General features: G+C 56.6%; 1 protein-coding gene across 9 annotated transcripts, besides 5 other annotated features; it reads right to left on the bottom strand.

Annotated features, from left to right (window-relative positions):
- Positions 71 to 993: an enhancer, noted in NCBI's record as "NANOG-H3K27ac-H3K4me1 hESC enhancer chr19:19739417-19740339 (GRCh37/hg19 assembly coordinates)". NCBI's record gives its function as "activates a minimal SCP1, AML or CMV promoter by ChIP-STARR-seq in primed H9 embryonic stem cells {active_cell/tissue: H9 hESC(primed)}" and the evidence as "EXISTENCE:reporter gene assay evidence [ECO:0000049][PMID:30033119]".
- Positions 304 to 433: a silencer, noted in NCBI's record as "silent region_10452". NCBI's record gives its function as "represses an Ori minimal core promoter by ATAC-STARR-seq in GM12878 lymphoblastoid cells {active_cell/tissue: GM12878}" and the evidence as "EXISTENCE:reporter gene assay evidence [ECO:0000049][PMID:35858748]".
- On the bottom strand, positions 939 to 15,120 carry GMIP (GEM interacting protein). 9 transcript variants are annotated; one of them, XM_005259927.3, is made up of 21 exons: positions 14,974 to 15,120; positions 13,998 to 14,082; positions 13,439 to 13,514; positions 13,273 to 13,330; positions 11,909 to 12,034; positions 11,759 to 11,823; positions 11,548 to 11,655; positions 9,865 to 9,945; positions 9,622 to 9,792; positions 9,383 to 9,520; positions 8,828 to 9,024; positions 8,380 to 8,492; positions 8,170 to 8,250; positions 7,107 to 7,184; positions 6,878 to 7,032; positions 6,488 to 6,676; positions 6,255 to 6,392; positions 5,970 to 6,166; positions 5,266 to 5,653; positions 1,934 to 2,000; positions 939 to 1,799 (listed from the first exon to the last, which is right to left on the bottom strand). In XM_005259927.3, the coding sequence occupies exons 1-21, from the start codon at positions 14,990 to 14,992 to the stop codon at positions 1,426 to 1,428; spliced, it is 2,904 nt and encodes a 967-aa protein (XP_005259984.1). In that variant the 5' UTR covers positions 14,993 to 15,120; the 3' UTR covers positions 939 to 1,425. The 9 variants fall into 9 exon arrangements, with proteins under 9 accessions (XP_005259984.1, NP_057657.2, NP_001275927.1 ...); NM_016573.4 differs by having other exon boundaries at positions 8,170 to 8,259; NM_001288998.2 differs by lacking the exon at positions 7,107 to 7,184.
- Positions 13,997 to 14,952: an enhancer, noted in NCBI's record as "H3K27ac-H3K4me1 hESC enhancer chr19:19753343-19754298 (GRCh37/hg19 assembly coordinates)". NCBI's record gives its function as "activates a minimal SCP1, AML or CMV promoter by ChIP-STARR-seq in primed H9 embryonic stem cells {active_cell/tissue: H9 hESC(primed)}" and the evidence as "EXISTENCE:reporter gene assay evidence [ECO:0000049][PMID:30033119]".
- Positions 14,174 to 14,333: an enhancer, noted in NCBI's record as "active region_14366". NCBI's record gives its function as "activates an Ori minimal core promoter by ATAC-STARR-seq in GM12878 lymphoblastoid cells {active_cell/tissue: GM12878}" and the evidence as "EXISTENCE:reporter gene assay evidence [ECO:0000049][PMID:35858748]".
- Positions 14,964 to 15,213: a silencer, noted in NCBI's record as "silent region_10453". NCBI's record gives its function as "represses an Ori minimal core promoter by ATAC-STARR-seq in GM12878 lymphoblastoid cells {active_cell/tissue: GM12878}" and the evidence as "EXISTENCE:reporter gene assay evidence [ECO:0000049][PMID:35858748]".

Genomic DNA, 15,756 nt, shown 5'->3' on the forward strand with positions numbered 1-15,756 from the left:
GCCCCCGCTCCGGACCCCCAACCCTCCCAGCCCCACCCCGCTCTCTTCTTCGTGTCCAATCGGCCGCCGAGTTACAAGCCACTCCCTGATCCGACTTGGCTCCCACCGCCCGGACCCCCGCCCAGCTTCGGCTTTGCCAGCTCGCAGTATCAGCGAGCCGCGGCCTCCTGTGCGAGGCCCACCTCTGCGGCCCCAGCTGATCATCGGGCGCACGCTAGGGTTTTGCAATCCCGCCCCCGTACCCCTCACCCTGGGACAGCGCTGCCCCCTGCAAAGCCCGGCCCTGCCCTGCCCTGCCCTGTGGCTTCCTCCCTCGGCCTCCCTGCGGCGGCCCCGGGCTCCCACGGTCCGGAGCACACAGCCCCATTGTCCCGGTTATCGGTACTTTGTTATACTGTATTTGATTATGCAGGACCGGATCGGGGACGCAGAGCTCCGGGAGGGCCGGGCTGGCGTGACTCAGCCGGGTGCTGCGACCCAGCTCCAACTGCCTTTACGTAGGTGCTGCAGGGTGTTTGATGATGCAAGAAGGAGGCCTTGAGGCCGGGCGCAGTGGCTCACGCCTGTAATCCCTGCATTTTGGGAGGCCGATGCGGGACGATCACGAGATCAGGAGATCGAGACCATCCTGGCCAACATGCTGAAACCCCGTCTCTACTAAAAATACAAAAAAATTAGCCGGGCATGGTGGCAGGCGCCTGTAGTCCCAGCTACTCGGGAGGCTGAGGCAGGAGAATCGCTTGAACCCGGGAGGTGGAGGTTGCAGTGAGCGGAGATCGTGCCACTGCACTCCAACCTGGAGACAGAGCAAAACTCCGTCTCAAAAAAAAAAAAAAAAAAAAAAAAAAAAGAGGCCTTGATTCCCCTAATCTGTAAAATGGGGGCAAGGAGTGCTACCCATGCTGGCCTCTCCCCTAGCAGAGATGCACCCAAGGGCATATAGGACACAGTTTATTAGAGGCCATCAGACCTCAGGCACCACCAGCATGTGGAGTCTGAGCTGCCCACCTCCTCCAGGAAGGTCACTTCGAGTCCGTGAAGGAGGCAGGCAGGTGTGGGGGAGTGACCACAACCAAAGTAGCAAAAGCACCCCTGTCCCAGGTGTCAGAGACTAGGGTGGACCCCAAGGATCTCATAACCTGCACTGACCCTGAGTATTGACCCTGAGTGACCTCTGAGCCCGAGTGGCCCTGATGCTTGGCAGTGACCTGTGTCTAGTGGGGGGACTCTGGGACATTATCCCCAAAAGGGTTTTAGGCCTCCCCTAGGTCATGTATTAAATAGTTTTTCCTTATAGGAACCCTCTGGACCTCTCCCAGCATTGAACTCCTGGCGGGGTGTTTGGCCACTAGGTGGTGGGAGGTAGGGATATATGGGTCCGTCTTCACAATCTGGGCCTCTTCCTTATTTAAGGTGCCAGGGTGGTCAGAGATGGTCCTCGGCTTCCTCAGGCTGGACGTCCGGGCAGCAGGTGGCCCTGGGCACAGCCTCGCTGTCCAATTTCGAGAGTAGCCGGGCTGTCTCCTGGGTAATCTCAAAATGCTTGGGCAGCGGGGTGCGGCGCAGGGGGCTGCCCTCAGGGGAGGCAGCTGCAGGGCTGGGCCCCCGCCCCCGCAAACTCCCTCTGGGCACTGATGTGATGGGGGTCTCCTCGCACAGCTTGGAAGCCACCAGGGCCAGACTGGACAGCTGGTGGGTTACAGGCCTCACACCGCCCCGGGGATACTTCACTGGCTGGCGGCTGAAGTGGCCACGAGACTGTGTCCCCAGGAGTGAGTCCTCTGGGCCTTGGCTGGACACTGTGTACGGGGTGGGTGGTCAGTGCAGAGCACCTCCAAGTTCTCTGTATATCCCCCCAGGAGTCATCTTTTAGCAAGCCACCCTGGGGCCAGGGCACCCCCAGAACTCCTGAGCCTCTCTCTAACATACTCACCTTCCCCTCCCCCATCTTTGGTGTCTTCAGCCACGTCCTCTCTCTGGTCACTCTGTGGAGTTGGAATCTGCAGGGAGAAACCCAAGAATGAGACCCCAACACTAAAATCCCAGTTCTTTGAGATTCCTGGAGAGCCAAGGGCTTGTTCCTGGACATGCAAAAGGAATAGCCAGTGCAAAGGCCCTGAGGTAGGAGCATGCCTGGTATGTTAGGACGCAGCCCCACCCTGTAATGAATGAGGGAAAGGTGGTAGGAAGTGAGACCAAAGAGGAGTGGGCCCAGGTGGCTCTGCCAGCCACCCCTGACTTTGCACCTACTCTGCACTGGGTGTGGACTACCATTGAACTCCTCCTATGCACAGGGCATGGACCACCACTGACTGTGCACCTGTCATCCTTTGCAGTTTTGGTGTTTGGGGATAGACGATGCCCTTATAAGTGTACTGCTTGGCCAGGCATGGTGGTGCATGCCTGTAATCCCAGCACTTTGGGAGGCTGAGGTTGGTGGATTATCTGAGGTCAGGAGTTCGGGACCAGCCTGGCCAACATGGTGAAACTCCGTCTCTACTAGAAATACAAAATTTAGCCGGGCGTGGTGGTGCATGCCTGTAATCCCAGCTACTAGGGAGGCTGAGGCAGGAGAATCGCTTGGACCTGGGAGGTGGAGATTGCAGTGAGCTCAGATCATGCCCCTGCACTCCAGTCTGGGTGACAGAATGAGACTCCGTCTCAAAAATAATAATAAGTGTACTGCTTGCCCTTCCAGCATAGAGCAGTGTCATTCATTGAGTCTGGACCGTGGGCTCCATGAGGGTGGGAAAATCCTTGTTTAGCAAATGGCCAGCCCAGGGAGTGGCTCAGCCCTCTCCACATTAGGACCAGGTGGTGCCTCTGAACTACTATCCTGGGCTGCTCTCTGCAACCTTACCAACTTTACTGTTCCATCCTTAGCTAAATGGTTGGCAGTGTCTACACATCAGACACTGTCCCGAGCACTTTATGAGGCATTCCAGCTCTCAGAGACCCACAGTTCACCAGCAGCCGCTTCCCAGCTCTGGGCTGCTGCAGGAGAGATCCTTGCTCTCAGGAATGGCAGATGCAGCAAGATACCAGCAGCACAGGCCTTGGGCATGGACTGTTCTAGCAATCCGGAGCAGCGGGTGCTGCTATCTTCCTGGTTCACAGCTGAGCTCTGGATCCAGACTGGTGACCTTTGTTAAAGATTCTACGCCAGGCGGCCGGGTGCAGTGGCTCCAGCCTGTAATCCCAGCACTTTGGGAGGCCGAGGCGGGTGGATCACAAGGTCAGGAGATCGAGACCATCCTGGCTAACACGGTGAAACCCCGTCTCTACTAAAAATACAAAAAAATTAGCCGGGTGTGGTGGCGGGTGCCTGTAGTCCCAGCTACTTGGGAGGCTGAGGCAGGAGAATGACGTGAACCTGGGAGGCAGAGCTTGCAGTGAGCCAAGATGGCACCACTGCACTCTAGCCTGGGTGACAGAGCGAGACTCCATCTCAAAAAAAAAAAAAAGATTCTAGGCCGGGTGCAGTGGCTCATGCCTGTAATCCCAGCACTTTGGGAGGCTGAGGAGGGCGGATCGCCTGAGGTCAGGAGTTTGAGACCAGCCTGACCAACATGGAGAAACCCCTACTCTACTAAAAATACAAAAAAAATTAGCTGGGTGTGGTGGTGCATGCCTGTAATCCCAACTACTCTGGAGGCTGAGGCAGGAGAATCGCTTGAATCCAGGAGGTGGAGGTTACGGTGAACAGAGATCACGCCATCGCACTCCAACCTGGGCAACAAGAATGAAACTCCGTCTAAAAAAATAAAGGATTCCAACTGCGGCCGGGTGTGGTGGCTCACGCCTATAATCCCAGCACTTTGGGAGGCTGAGGTGGGTGGGTTACTTGAGGTAGGGGGTTGGAGACCAGCCTGGCTAACATGGCGAAACCTTGTCTCTGAGGCATTAGAATTGCTTGAACCCGGGAGGCGGAGGTTGTGGTGAGCCGAGATCGCACCACTGCACTCCAGTTGGGCAACACAGTGAGATTCTGTCTCCAAAAAAAAATAAAAGATTCCAACTGCTTACAGTCCCCTTTTAGGGCCATTAACTGCTCAGAGCCTTCATTGTTTAATCTGTAAATGATTTTCATTAACACTGTCTACCTCTCAGGACTGTGGAGAGGACAACAGGAAGCCTCTATAGTGTCCCCTGCACAGCAGGTGCACATTCAGTGGTGGTCTGTGCCTGTGAATAGCAGATGCAAGGTCAGGATAGCTGGCAGAGCCACCTGGGCCCACTCCTCTTTGGTATCACTTCATACCACCTTCCTGTCATTCATTACAGGATGGGGCTGCGTCCTAACACACCAGGCACGATCCTACCTCAGGGCCTTTGCACTGGCTGTTCCCTTTGCCTGGAACACCCTTCACCTGATCTCCATGTTGCCAGCTCACTCCTTCATGTCCTTCCAGTCTTTGCTCAAGTCCGTCTGCTCTCTAAGACGTGCCCCCACCATCCTACTTAGTGATACAAACTCCACCTCCCACCGTGCTGCTCCCTGGTGTCATGTGTCTTACTCCACTTTTTTTTTTTTTTTTTGAAACAAAGTCTTGCTCTATTGTCCAGGCTGGAGTGCAGTGGCATGCTCTCGGCTCACTAAAACCTCTGCTTCCTGGGCTCAAGCGATTCTCCTGCCTCAGCCTCCTGAGTAGCTGGGATTACAGGTACACACCACCACACCTGGCTAATTTTTGTATTTTTAGTAGAGACAGGTTTCTCCTTATTGGTTGGATTAGTCTCGAACTCCTGACCTCAGGTGATTTGCCTGCCCCAGCATCCCAAAGTGCTGGGATTACAGGCGTGTGCCACCGCGCCCAGCCATTACTCTACCTTTTCATGATCCATTACCCTTATCATCATCACCTCATCACATTCCAGATAACTGACTTTGTGTCATGTATATGGTTGTTCTTTCCCCACTAAAACACAGGCACTGAGAGGGCAGGGTCTTTGGATATTTAGCTCCTGGATGTATCTGCAATGCCTACGACAATGCTTGGCCCAAAATACATGTTCAATAAATATTCTGTTGGAGGAATGAATGATCACCCATGTTAGTACCTCTGCAGGGCTGTCCCCTTTTGTTACATCATCACTGCCCACTGCTCATTCCTCACTATTCCTTCCAGAATGAACATAAGTTAAATGAGGAAGGGAGGAAGAGAATGAAGGAAATTTTAAAAAGGAAGGAAGGTGAAAGAGAAGGTAAGAGAATTGAACAGAGATAAGGCCCTCTCCATAGCTGTGGGCCCAGTGGGTTCTTACCTCGGTAGGTGTGGCCGTGGGATGCTGCTCCAGGGTACTGTGGTGCTGGGGGTCTGGGCCGGGGTCTGAGGCTAGGACTGGGGGCTGGGAGTCTGGGTCAAGGTGCGGGGGTGGCGGTTGGGAGCTGGTTGTGAGGGGCCCAGGGGCTGGGCTGGAGTCTTGGGGCGGGGGCTCAGTGGCCTGGGGGAGCTCATCCATCCCAAAGATCTGCTCGTAGTGCACGATGAGGAACTCCACAAGCTGGGCCTGATGCCCAGAGTCCAGCAGGCAGGTGACAGGGATGGCGCTGGCTGCCCGCGGGCCGTCCGGCGGCCGCAGCAGTGTCGGCCCAAACACAATGCCCAGGTTGTTGGCAGACATCTTGTTTTCCATAAATCGTGCAGCCACCCTGGGGATGGTGTGAAGAGAAAGGTCAGGGTACAGGATGCAAGCTCATTGGTCTGAGGGTAAGGGTGGGACACGCAGGCCAGCCTAGAGGTGACTTGCCCATGTCACAGGTGTAAGTCGTCTGAGACCAGCAGCCACATATCCAGAACTGGAGGTCAGGGGTCAGTACCCAAAGTTATGAATCATGGATTAAGGTTCAGAGTTCAGAAAACACAGGTCAAAGGTCAGAGGTCAGTGTCAGGGGTCAGCCAGGGAAGTTAGTAGTCGCATGTCCAGGGAAAAGGGTCGCGTTTCAAGGCTCAGGGACCCATGCACACCTGAACAGATGGGCCACCAGGTGCCGCAGGGTGTTGTAGTTAGAGTCAGGCAGCTGTACCAAGAGGGTCTTCAGCGAGCGGATAACCTCAGGGCTGGGGCTGGGGGTCCCAGGGTCGTCCCCAGGGTCTGCATGCAAGGTCTTAGCCAGAGAGATGAAGGCGTCGTAGAGGTGGAAGGGGATCACGGGCTCGGTGAGCTGGGGGTGGAACGGAGGGCGCAACACGAGTGTGGGTGGGCTGTGGAGGGCTCCTGCCCGCGTCCCCCTCAGTGTCCTGAGCACCAACCTCCTGAAGAAATCGCTTGAGGACACTCGAGACGTCATGAGGCGAGTTCCCCGACAGCTCCACCAACGCTCGGCCATTCTCGAAAGCCTGGCACAGCCGCTCCACACGGACCCGGGACCCGCTGACCCGGTAAATGCCCTGCAGGGTGAGGGTGAAAAACAGACACCTGGTTCGTGATAGGCCATCGATTCGGTCAGGTCACTTCTGGGGATGATGAAGGGTCAGGGCAGCACCTGCACATCCAGGGCACGGTGTTCTATCTCAGCCGTGCACTTCGTGACCACAAAGGGTACCTCCTCCGGGAAGTCCCTGGGTAGCTGCAGGAAGTCAACCCCAAAAAGGGGTGTCCGGGCTGGGAGCCGCCTGTGTCCACAGAGGATCAGGAGAGTCTCCAGGCAGCGCTTGTGGCAGGTCAGAAAGCACTGTGGGGAAGGTCACAGGGACAGGGAGGTCATTAGGGACCAGTAGGGGAAGAGAAGGTTACAAGGATCCTCAAGGAATGGGGGCTCATGGGAGACATCAGGTTAGGGTGGGTCCCAGGGGCAGAAAGGCTGTAGGAATCTCAGGTCAGGGAGATGATCAAGGGTCAGCAAAGGTCATTTGGTCATTAACCCAGGCCACACCTCCTCACACTCCGTCCCGCTGACCATGAAGGCTTCGCACTCGCGGCACTTGGCTGGGCCCCGCAGTCGCCGCAGCTGGTGGGTCTGAGCCGCGCTGGACAGTGTCCACTTCCCGAAGGGGCTGCCCAGCCCATTCTCCAGCCCGTCTCCCAGGTCTGCAGGGAGACAGGGTCAGGAGTGCCTGGTGCCCTGCCCTGTCCCATCCTGACCTACCCTGCTTCAGCCTCACCAGGGTCTCGCTCCTCAAAGTCATCTGAGGACTCAGTGCCTGTGGACGAAGCCTTCACCAGCTGCCTCGTGCCAGCGCCTGGGGTCAGAGGAATCATGGGAGATTCCTGGGCTATGGGAGGCACTCCTGGTTTTTAGGGCTTCCAGAACCACCCACTAATTCCCAAGGGGTCAGAGGTCAGGAGGGGGATTGGACAGGTCAGTGGTTAAGGGTTGGAGAATTGGGTCAGCAACCTGAGGGGGGTGGTTCATAAGCTGGATCAAGAGGTTGAGGAAATAGGCCGGGCGCAGTGGCTCACACCTGTAATCCCAGCACTTTGGGAAGCTGAGGCAGGAGGATCACATGAGGCAAGGAGTTTGACACCAGCCTGGCCAACATGGCAAAACCTTGTCTCTACTAAAAATACAAACATTAACCAGGCATGGTGGCAGGCACCTGTAGTCCCAGCTACTCGGGAGGCTGAGGCACGAGAATCGCTTGAACCTGGGAGGCGGAGGTTGCAGTGAGCCAAGATCGTACCACTGCGCTCCAGCCTGGGCAACAGAGCAAGACTCTGTCTCAAAAAAAAAAAAAAGAAAGAAAGAAAAGAAAAGAAAAGGCCGGGCGTGGTGGCACACACCTGTAATCCCTGCACTTTGGGAGACCGAGGCAGGTGGATCACCTGAGGTCAGGAGTTCGAGATCAGCCTGGCCAACATGGTGAAACCCCGTCTCTACTAAAAAATACAAAAATCAGCCGGCGTGGTAGTGCACACCTGTAATCCCAGCTACTCCAGAGGCTGAGACAGGAGAATCGCTTGAATCTGGGAGGTGGAGGTTGCAGTGAGCCGAGATCACGCCACTGCACTCCAGGCTGGGCGACAGAATGAGACTGTCTCAAATAAACAAACAAATAAATAAATAAATAATTTTTAAAAAGGTAAAAAAAGAGGTTGAGGAAATAGGTCAGGGGTGTGGGGTAGGTCAGAGGTCAAAGATAGTTAAAGATTGAGGGTCAGAGCTTGGCCAGGGGCTGGAGGATGGTCACAGGTGGAGTGTGGGTCAGGACCAGGTCCTATCCCTACCTGGGCTGGAAGTGGGTGAGTCCAGGGACCGAGACTCGCTGCCGCCACCCACGCTGTCCACATCGCTGCCCGGAGTGGGGCCTGGAGTCCCTAGGTGGCACAGGTCAATAAGGATGGTCCCCTGCTCACAAACCCCACTCCTGCAGCCCACCTATGTGTTGGTGGAACGAACTCCTGGCACCACTCCCACCTGGCCCTCATTGCACTCACCTTGCCAGCGCCAGCCTGTGCCCGGATCCTCCCAAGGGCCTGGCTCAGCTGAATTCTCATCCAGCCTTGGAGGAAGAGGCCCAGAGAGCTTCTTTCTGATGTCCAGAGGGGAGCTGAGAAGACAGAAGTTTGAAGGTTTGAATCCCAGGAAACTGGCCTGGGGTGATGGCACCCAGGCATCATGTCTAGGTACCAACTCCAAGCACTTGGGTCTGCAAACCCTGACACCCAGGGCATTGTGGCCCCTGAAATACAGTAGCCCCACATTCCTGCCCCTGCCCCTAGGACTGGGACAACCCATTCACCCTCCTATGGCCCCCGAGAGCCTGGAGTACTAAATTCCACTAAGGCTTTGCGTTCTCTAACCTCGAGTAACCAGCCTGCGGTGCCAACAGCCTGGCATCGCGATTCCGGGGCTCGTTCCCGACTCCCTGCTCCAGTGACCCACCTGTTCAAGGAGGGAAGGAACTCCTGGAAGGAGAAGGCGGGCGGCGGGGGCGGCGGGGCCTCGGGCCGCAGCGCCCGTACAAACTCCTGGTAGCGCTGGCCCGGCTCAAAGGGCGCACAGCACTCGGCCAGGGCGGCGAAGGCGCGGGGGCCACGCTCTGCCTGCGCCCCCCGCAGCCCGAAGAGACTCAGCGTCACCTGCCGGGTGGAGACAGCAGGTTGGGGAGGGGCGGAGCCTGGGAGCCTGGGGGCAGGGCCAGAGCTGGGGCGGGGCTTGAGAGACGCGAACGTGGTCAGGGTTTGGGACGCACCTGGGCGGCTTAGGAACTAGGGCAGTCGGCCAGGGGACCCAGGCATGGTCAGAGCAGGGGCTGGTCATCCAGGGGACAGGACCTCATGGGGCGGAGCCGAGACAGTGGGTCTGGGGGCGGGAACTGGCTGTCGAGGGAAATGGCCTAGTCCTGGTGTCTCCAGGGTGGCTTAGGGGCGAGGAGTGGGGCACTCAGTCGGGGCCCCAACGGGGTGAGGGGAGGATGGCCTTGGGGATGGGCCTCACCCGCCTCAGCACTTCATCCCCCTGAAACACCAGCTTGCGCACGTGCGACACGATTCGCTGCTTGGCGATCTCCAGGTCCTGCTGCCGCGCGTTGGCCTCGCGGACACAGGCCTGGTACAGCGCCTCGGCCTCCTGCGCCTGGGGAAACGGGAGGCCAGGAGCGGGGTGGGGCGCGTGTGGGCGAGAGTGGAGGGCAGGGGGCGCCACAGCGCTACAGGGGCTCGGGGCCGGGTGCCCACCTTGGCCTGGGCCTCCTCTCGCGAGCGCCGCCGCCGCTCCTGCTGCTTGCTAGGTCCCGGCGAGGCCTGGGGGGCCGAGTCCTCAGGGGACCCCTGGGAGCGTGCCCGCAGGTCCTCGCTGCGTTGCACATACTGCAGCTGGGCGCGCCGCAGTGCCTGCACCGCCTCATTCTGGGGGATGATGAGAAGGTCAGCGTCCCGGCCTCTCTCTCACCCTACCCTTCCACCAATTCCAAGCCTCACCATCCGCTTCTGCTCCTTCATCCACTGCTCCTTGAACTCCTTCCGCCACTTCTCAATCTCAGTCCGTTTGGCGGCGAGGGGCTGGCAAGGGTTGGGGATGGGGATGGAGACGCTGCCTTAGGGCCAACCCAGAAGCAGCCACCCAGTCCTTCCATTCCTGCGCCATGTGCTTTGCCACCTCTGGACTCTATTTTTTTTTTTTTCGAGACGGAGTTTTGCTCTTGTTGCCCAGGTTGGAGTGCAAGTGGGCAATCATGGCTCACTGCAGCATTGAACTTGAACTCTTGAGTTCAAGCAATCCTCCAGCCTCAGCCTCTCAGTAGCTAGGACTACAGGCATGTGCACTAGGCCTAGTTAATTTAAAAAACAATTTCTTCTTTTTTTTTTTTTTTTTGGTTGGCCAGGTGTAGTGGCTCATGCCTTTAATCCCAGCACTTGGGAGGCCAAAGTGGGCAGATCACCTGAGGCCAGGAGTTCAAGACCAGCCTGACCAACATGGTGAAACCCCGTCTCTACAAAAATACAAAAATTATAAAGATGTGATGGCACACTCCTATAGTCCCACCTACTCGGGAGGCTGAGGCAGGAGAATCACTTGAACCCGGGAGGCAGAGGTTGCAGTGAGCTGAGATCATGCCACTGCACTCCAGCCTGGATGATAAAGTGAGACTCTGTCTCAAAAAAAAAAATAAATAAATAAATTTTTTTTGGTAGATAAAGACAGGGATCTCACTATGTTGCCCAGGTTAGTCTCGAACTCCTGGCCTCAAGCAATCCTCCACCCTCAGCCTCCTAGTAGCTAGCACTGCAGACATGTGCACCAGGCCCAGCTAATTAAAAAACTTTTTTTTTTTTTTTGTAGAGACAGGGGGTCTCACTATGTTGCCCAGGTTGGTCTCAAACTCCTGGGCTCAAGCAATCCTCCCTCCTTGGCCCCCAGAAGTGCTGGGATTACAGGCATGAGCCACCGTGCCAGGCTGGACCCTTTTCTGAGTCAGTATTCTCCTCCTGGGGTCTTCTCCAGACCTGCTCTCCCCGACCCCTGAGTCCAGAAGTCTCATGTAGTCACCCCATCCTTTCTGCTTGGAAGCAGAGACACCAAGGCTTTCCTCCTGAGAACACTCAGCACCTCGTTCCCCTCCCCACAAACAAAAACGAAGTTTTTGGCTGGGCGTGGTGGCTCACGCCTGTAATCCCACCACTTTGGGAAGCTGAGGTAGGTGGATTACCTGAGGTCAGGAGTTGGAGACCAGCCTGGCCAACATGGTGAAACCCCATCTGTACTAAAAATACAAAAATTAGCCGGGCGTGGTGGCAGGCGCCTGTAATCCCAGCTACTCAGGAGGCTGAGGCAAGTGAATTGCTTGAACCCAAGAAGCGGAGGTTGCAGTGAGCTGAGATCGCACCATTGCACCCCAGCCTGGGCAAAAGAGCAAGATATTCTGTCTCAAGAAAAAAAGTAAAGTGAAGTTTTGCAATTGCACAGGAAGCCCAGCTTGAATCTTTGCTGGGTAACCTTGGGCAAGTTCCCAAGCATCCCCGGGCCTCAGCTTCCTCATCAATGAAATGGCGACGTTGGTAGTGGTGCCTTCCTCCCAGCTTGCTGGGAAACGAGGGGATCAGGCCTGAAGGACAGCAGGATAGCAGGGTGACCTCTGTAACATTCCACCCTGCCCCCCTCACCTGGTAGTAGTCTCTTTTCTGCTGGGCCACTGTCTCCATGGCCAGGGTTCCCAGGCTGAGATCGTGCTCCAGAAACAGGGTGTAGATGTACTGCAGAGGCATGTGGCTCTGGGGAAGACAGAGTGGTGTAGGAGGATACTGAAGATCTGTGGGGGACAAAGGTGGGGTTCTAGGGGGCTTGGGCTCTCCGGGGGGGTCTGGTCATGACTACCTGCTGTTGAATGGACACCTTGCCAGCTTCAGCGATCTTCATGGTGCTCTTAGCAAACTCCAGCTCTGGGGGAAGAGAGAGCCGGGCTCTGGGTCTAGCTGGGGTCTGGGGACTGCCTGGTAACTGGGGCTGGGCGGAAGAGGTCCTCACCATAGCTGGCTCTCTTTTCAGTCCAGGCAAGCAGTTCCTTGGCATAGCGGCTCCAGGTCTTGGCATATTCCAGGGCTGCGTCCACACCCCCCTTTGTCCGAATGAGCCGCAAGTCCAGTTCCTCCCCTGGGGAAGATGGATGGACCTCTGACCTTTGCACCCTAGTCTGCTATGGATGTCTTCCCTAAGCCCCCAGACCAGCCCAGTGGCACCTGTCCTACAGCCTCACAGCTCCCCAAACACTACTTTGGGATCACTTGTCCTGGTTGCAATTTTACAGATTCACTGTTTTTTGTTTTTTATTTTTTATTATTTTATTATTTATTTATTTATTTTTGAGACTGTGTTTCGCTCTTGTTGCCCAGGCTAGAGTGCAATGGCGCGATTTTGGCTCACCAAAACCTCTGCCTCCCGGGTTCAAGCGATTCTCCTGCCTCAGCCTCCTGAGTAGCTGGGATTACAGGCATGCGCCACCATGCCCGGCTAATTTTTTGTATTTTTAGTAGAGACGAGGTTTCTCTATGTTGGTCAGGCTGGTCTCGAACTCCCAATCTCAGGTGATCTGCCCGCCTCGGCCTCCCAAAGTGCTGGGATTACAGGCATGAGCCACCGTGCCCGGCCTGTGTTTGATGGGTTTTTTTATTTTTATTTTTGAGGCGGAGTCTCGCTCTGTCGCTCAGGCTGGAGTGCAATGGCCCTATTTTGCCTCACTGCAAGCTCCGCCTCCTGGGTTCCCGCCATTCTCCTGCCTCAGCCTCCCGAGTATCTGGGACTACAGGCACTCGCCACTGCGCCCGGCTAAATTTTTTTGTATTTTTAGTAGAGATGGGGTTTCACCATGTTAGCCAGGATGGTCTCGATCTCCTGACCTCGTGGTCCACCCGCCTCAGCCTCCAAAGTGCTGGGATTACAGGCGTGAGCCACTGCGTCCGGCCTTGTGTTTGATTTTTTTGGACATGGTCTTGCTCTGTCATCCAGGCTGGAGTGCAGTGGCACAATCGTATCTCACTGCAGCCTCAAAGTCCTGGGCTTAATCAGTCCTCCAGCCTCAGCTTCCAAAGTAGCTGGGACTACAGGCACACACCACCACACCCAGCTAATTAAAAAAATATTTTTTCTTTTGGTAGGGATGGTGTCTTACTGTTGCCCAGCATGGTCACGAATTCCTGGCTTCAAGTGATCCTCCTACCTCAGCCTCCACCCTGCCTGGGGTCTCCCTGAGGGCTGGGACTGAGATCTGTTGTGTGTACTGCCATATTCCCAAAACCTAAACGATGCCTTGCATGGAACAGGGGATCAGTGGTGATTTGTTGAAGGAAAGACTCCTGTCTGTCCCCACTGTCCTGGCCTCCAGACCCCCCTACCTGTGAGGGGTACAGGACCCTCTGGGGAGGGGCCGCTCCAACAGCTGGCTTCGTTGGTCTGTGCGGGAGGGAGACAGTATTCAGAAGCAAACAGGGCAGGGGCCTGGCCTTCCTAAGGCCCCCTCTGCTTGAGGTCTTCCTCCCTGTTCCCCTACTCCCCACTCACAACAGTGGCTGTAGGGGTCTTGTCAGGTTCTGGGTCTTCTGAGAGTAGAGGGTCTCCAGCCAGCATCTCAAGGGTCCTGGGGGATAAAGGTGTGTCAGGATGCCACCTTACACCCAGTCTGTCCTGCCAAGGGGTGCTGGGGACCTTAGGGTTGTTTGTGGCAAACATCACCTCTGTGGCATCTCTTGTGTCTGGGAGGTCTGAAGAATGGTGTTTTGGGGGAATCAGGTGAGTTTTTTTTAAATAGGACTTGAAAAAGCATCTGAAGGGCCCCAGATAACTTTGAGGTTCATAGAGTGGGATTATAGGGATCGCAAATATTTTAAGGGGTTACAAGGATATGTAGGGGTTCTAGGACCACTTTGGGGATTTCCAGTCTATTTAGGGGGACACTTTTAGGATACCGAGGCATTTTGGAGGGTCCCATCCTAGACTTCTCTGGTTATTAGGTATGTAGGTCCAGATGTTACAGGTTCCAAATGGGACTGCAAGGCACCTAAATGGTTAGGGGCTTGGGGCATCTTGGCAGGATTTGGGGGTGATCCAGGCTCAGACTCACACGTTCCCCAGTGAGATTTCGAGGTTGTCCAGGCTCCGGAAGATGTCACTGTACCTCTTCCTGCCCTCAGGACCTGGGGGGAGTCCTAGGGGAGGGGAGTGTAATACATGGGCTAACCACTGCCTCCCTCCACCCACGGCACCTCAACCAGTCTCATTTGGAGGGGGTGGAAGAGAAAGGGAAGAGTGAGAGAGAGAAAGAGAGGGCTGGGGGGGGCTTGGTTGGGGCCAACTCGAGGCAGGCAGATGGACTCACACACCACCAGAGACCAGAGACAGCTGCTCGGGGAACAGAGACACCCACTCCCTGGGTCTGCCTGCACCCAGAAGCAAACCAACAAAACAGATGCCCCAGATGCAACCAGGCTGTCCCGAGAAGAAAGCCGGTCTGACAATGGAACCACGGGCTAGACAGATGGAAATACACAAGGGACAGCCAGGCAGAGCCTGGGGCAGAAACACACATGGAGAGACTGAAGCCGTGAGGGACATAAAGACCGAATGACACTCCACATACACAACACAGACACAAAGACGGCCGGAAACACCAAGTCGGACCCCGCCACATTTCTACTGCTGCCCCCCTGCCCCCTCTCCTAAGGGGCCTAGACCAGCACTGCCGACTCCCCAGGGCTACAGAGGGGCCCTGTGGGGATCCTACCGCGTTGCCCTCTCCCTCAGCAGTCGTGGCACCCTGCCCCCATCACAAAAATCAGAAGCAGAAGCAGTCACTTCCCCTTCCTGGGCCCCCTCCCCCAGGCGTCTGGGGTGAGGGATCAAAAGGGGGAGGGGGAGTGAAGGGCTGGGGTCCTGAACCCATCCGGGCACAGGGCTCCCCACAATGGAGGATCCCTGGGTCCTTCCCATTCAGGAACTCCTCTCCTGGCTCTCAGGACGGAGCGGGACAAGTGTGTGCCCTCAATGTAGGAAGCAGGGGATGGTCGGGGGAGGCCCCTCCCGGATCCCCGACCCCCTACCCGGCTCTGCTGCGTCCATATCTGGGCCCGGGGATCGCTCTGCAGGGACCGGGATGGGGATGGGGTCGCGCGCCGGCGGGGCCGAGCCCCGATTTCCTGCCGCCGCAGCCGCCGCCGCCGCCTCGGTTCCGCGTCGCCCTGCCCAGCGGAGGCCACGCCCCCGCATCAGACCACGCCCCCGTAGCCCGGAAGCCTTGATAGTGCCCTTCTCTACCTGAGCCGCTTGAAACTGGGTCGGGCCAGGGCCCCCTGAGCGACCACTCGAGGCTGCAGTGCCCCTGACCTGGGCATCCTAAGACTTCATCTGGGCCATAGGTTCCCTCTCAGATCTTTGTGCTACCCCAAATCCCACGGAGCCCCAGCCCCCTCCTCCCTGAATGGTTGCAGAGTCCACCTGTCCCGGGGGGCCTCTCCCAGGAGCTCCCACAACCCGCGACCCTGGTGATCCCCTTGCCCAGGTTGTCTCTCGGAGCCCTGAAACCACCTGGGCCTCGCTGGAGCCATGGCGCCCCCTGGTGGAGGCCTGATATTCTGTCCGATTCCAACCAAAATTCTAATACTCGGGCTGGAGAACCCCTGGCCTGGGGGACGCCCCTTCCGTGACCCTCAAAGCTGGATCAGGCTCAAGGCCCCAATTACAGCACACCAGGGAGCAGCCCTTTTAGGTAGGGAGTGGAGGTTTGTCCAAAAGCACCAGCTCTGGGGTTGCCACAAGCCGCCTGTTATAAAAATGCTCCCACCCCCAGCACAGTGGAATTTTGGGGCTGGAAATAGACTTTAAAG

The sequence above is a fragment of the Homo sapiens genome, chromosome 19 (assembly GCF_000001405.40).
Source record: "Homo sapiens chromosome 19, GRCh38.p14 Primary Assembly".
Taxonomy (NCBI): Eukaryota; Metazoa; Chordata; class Mammalia; order Primates; family Hominidae; genus Homo; species Homo sapiens.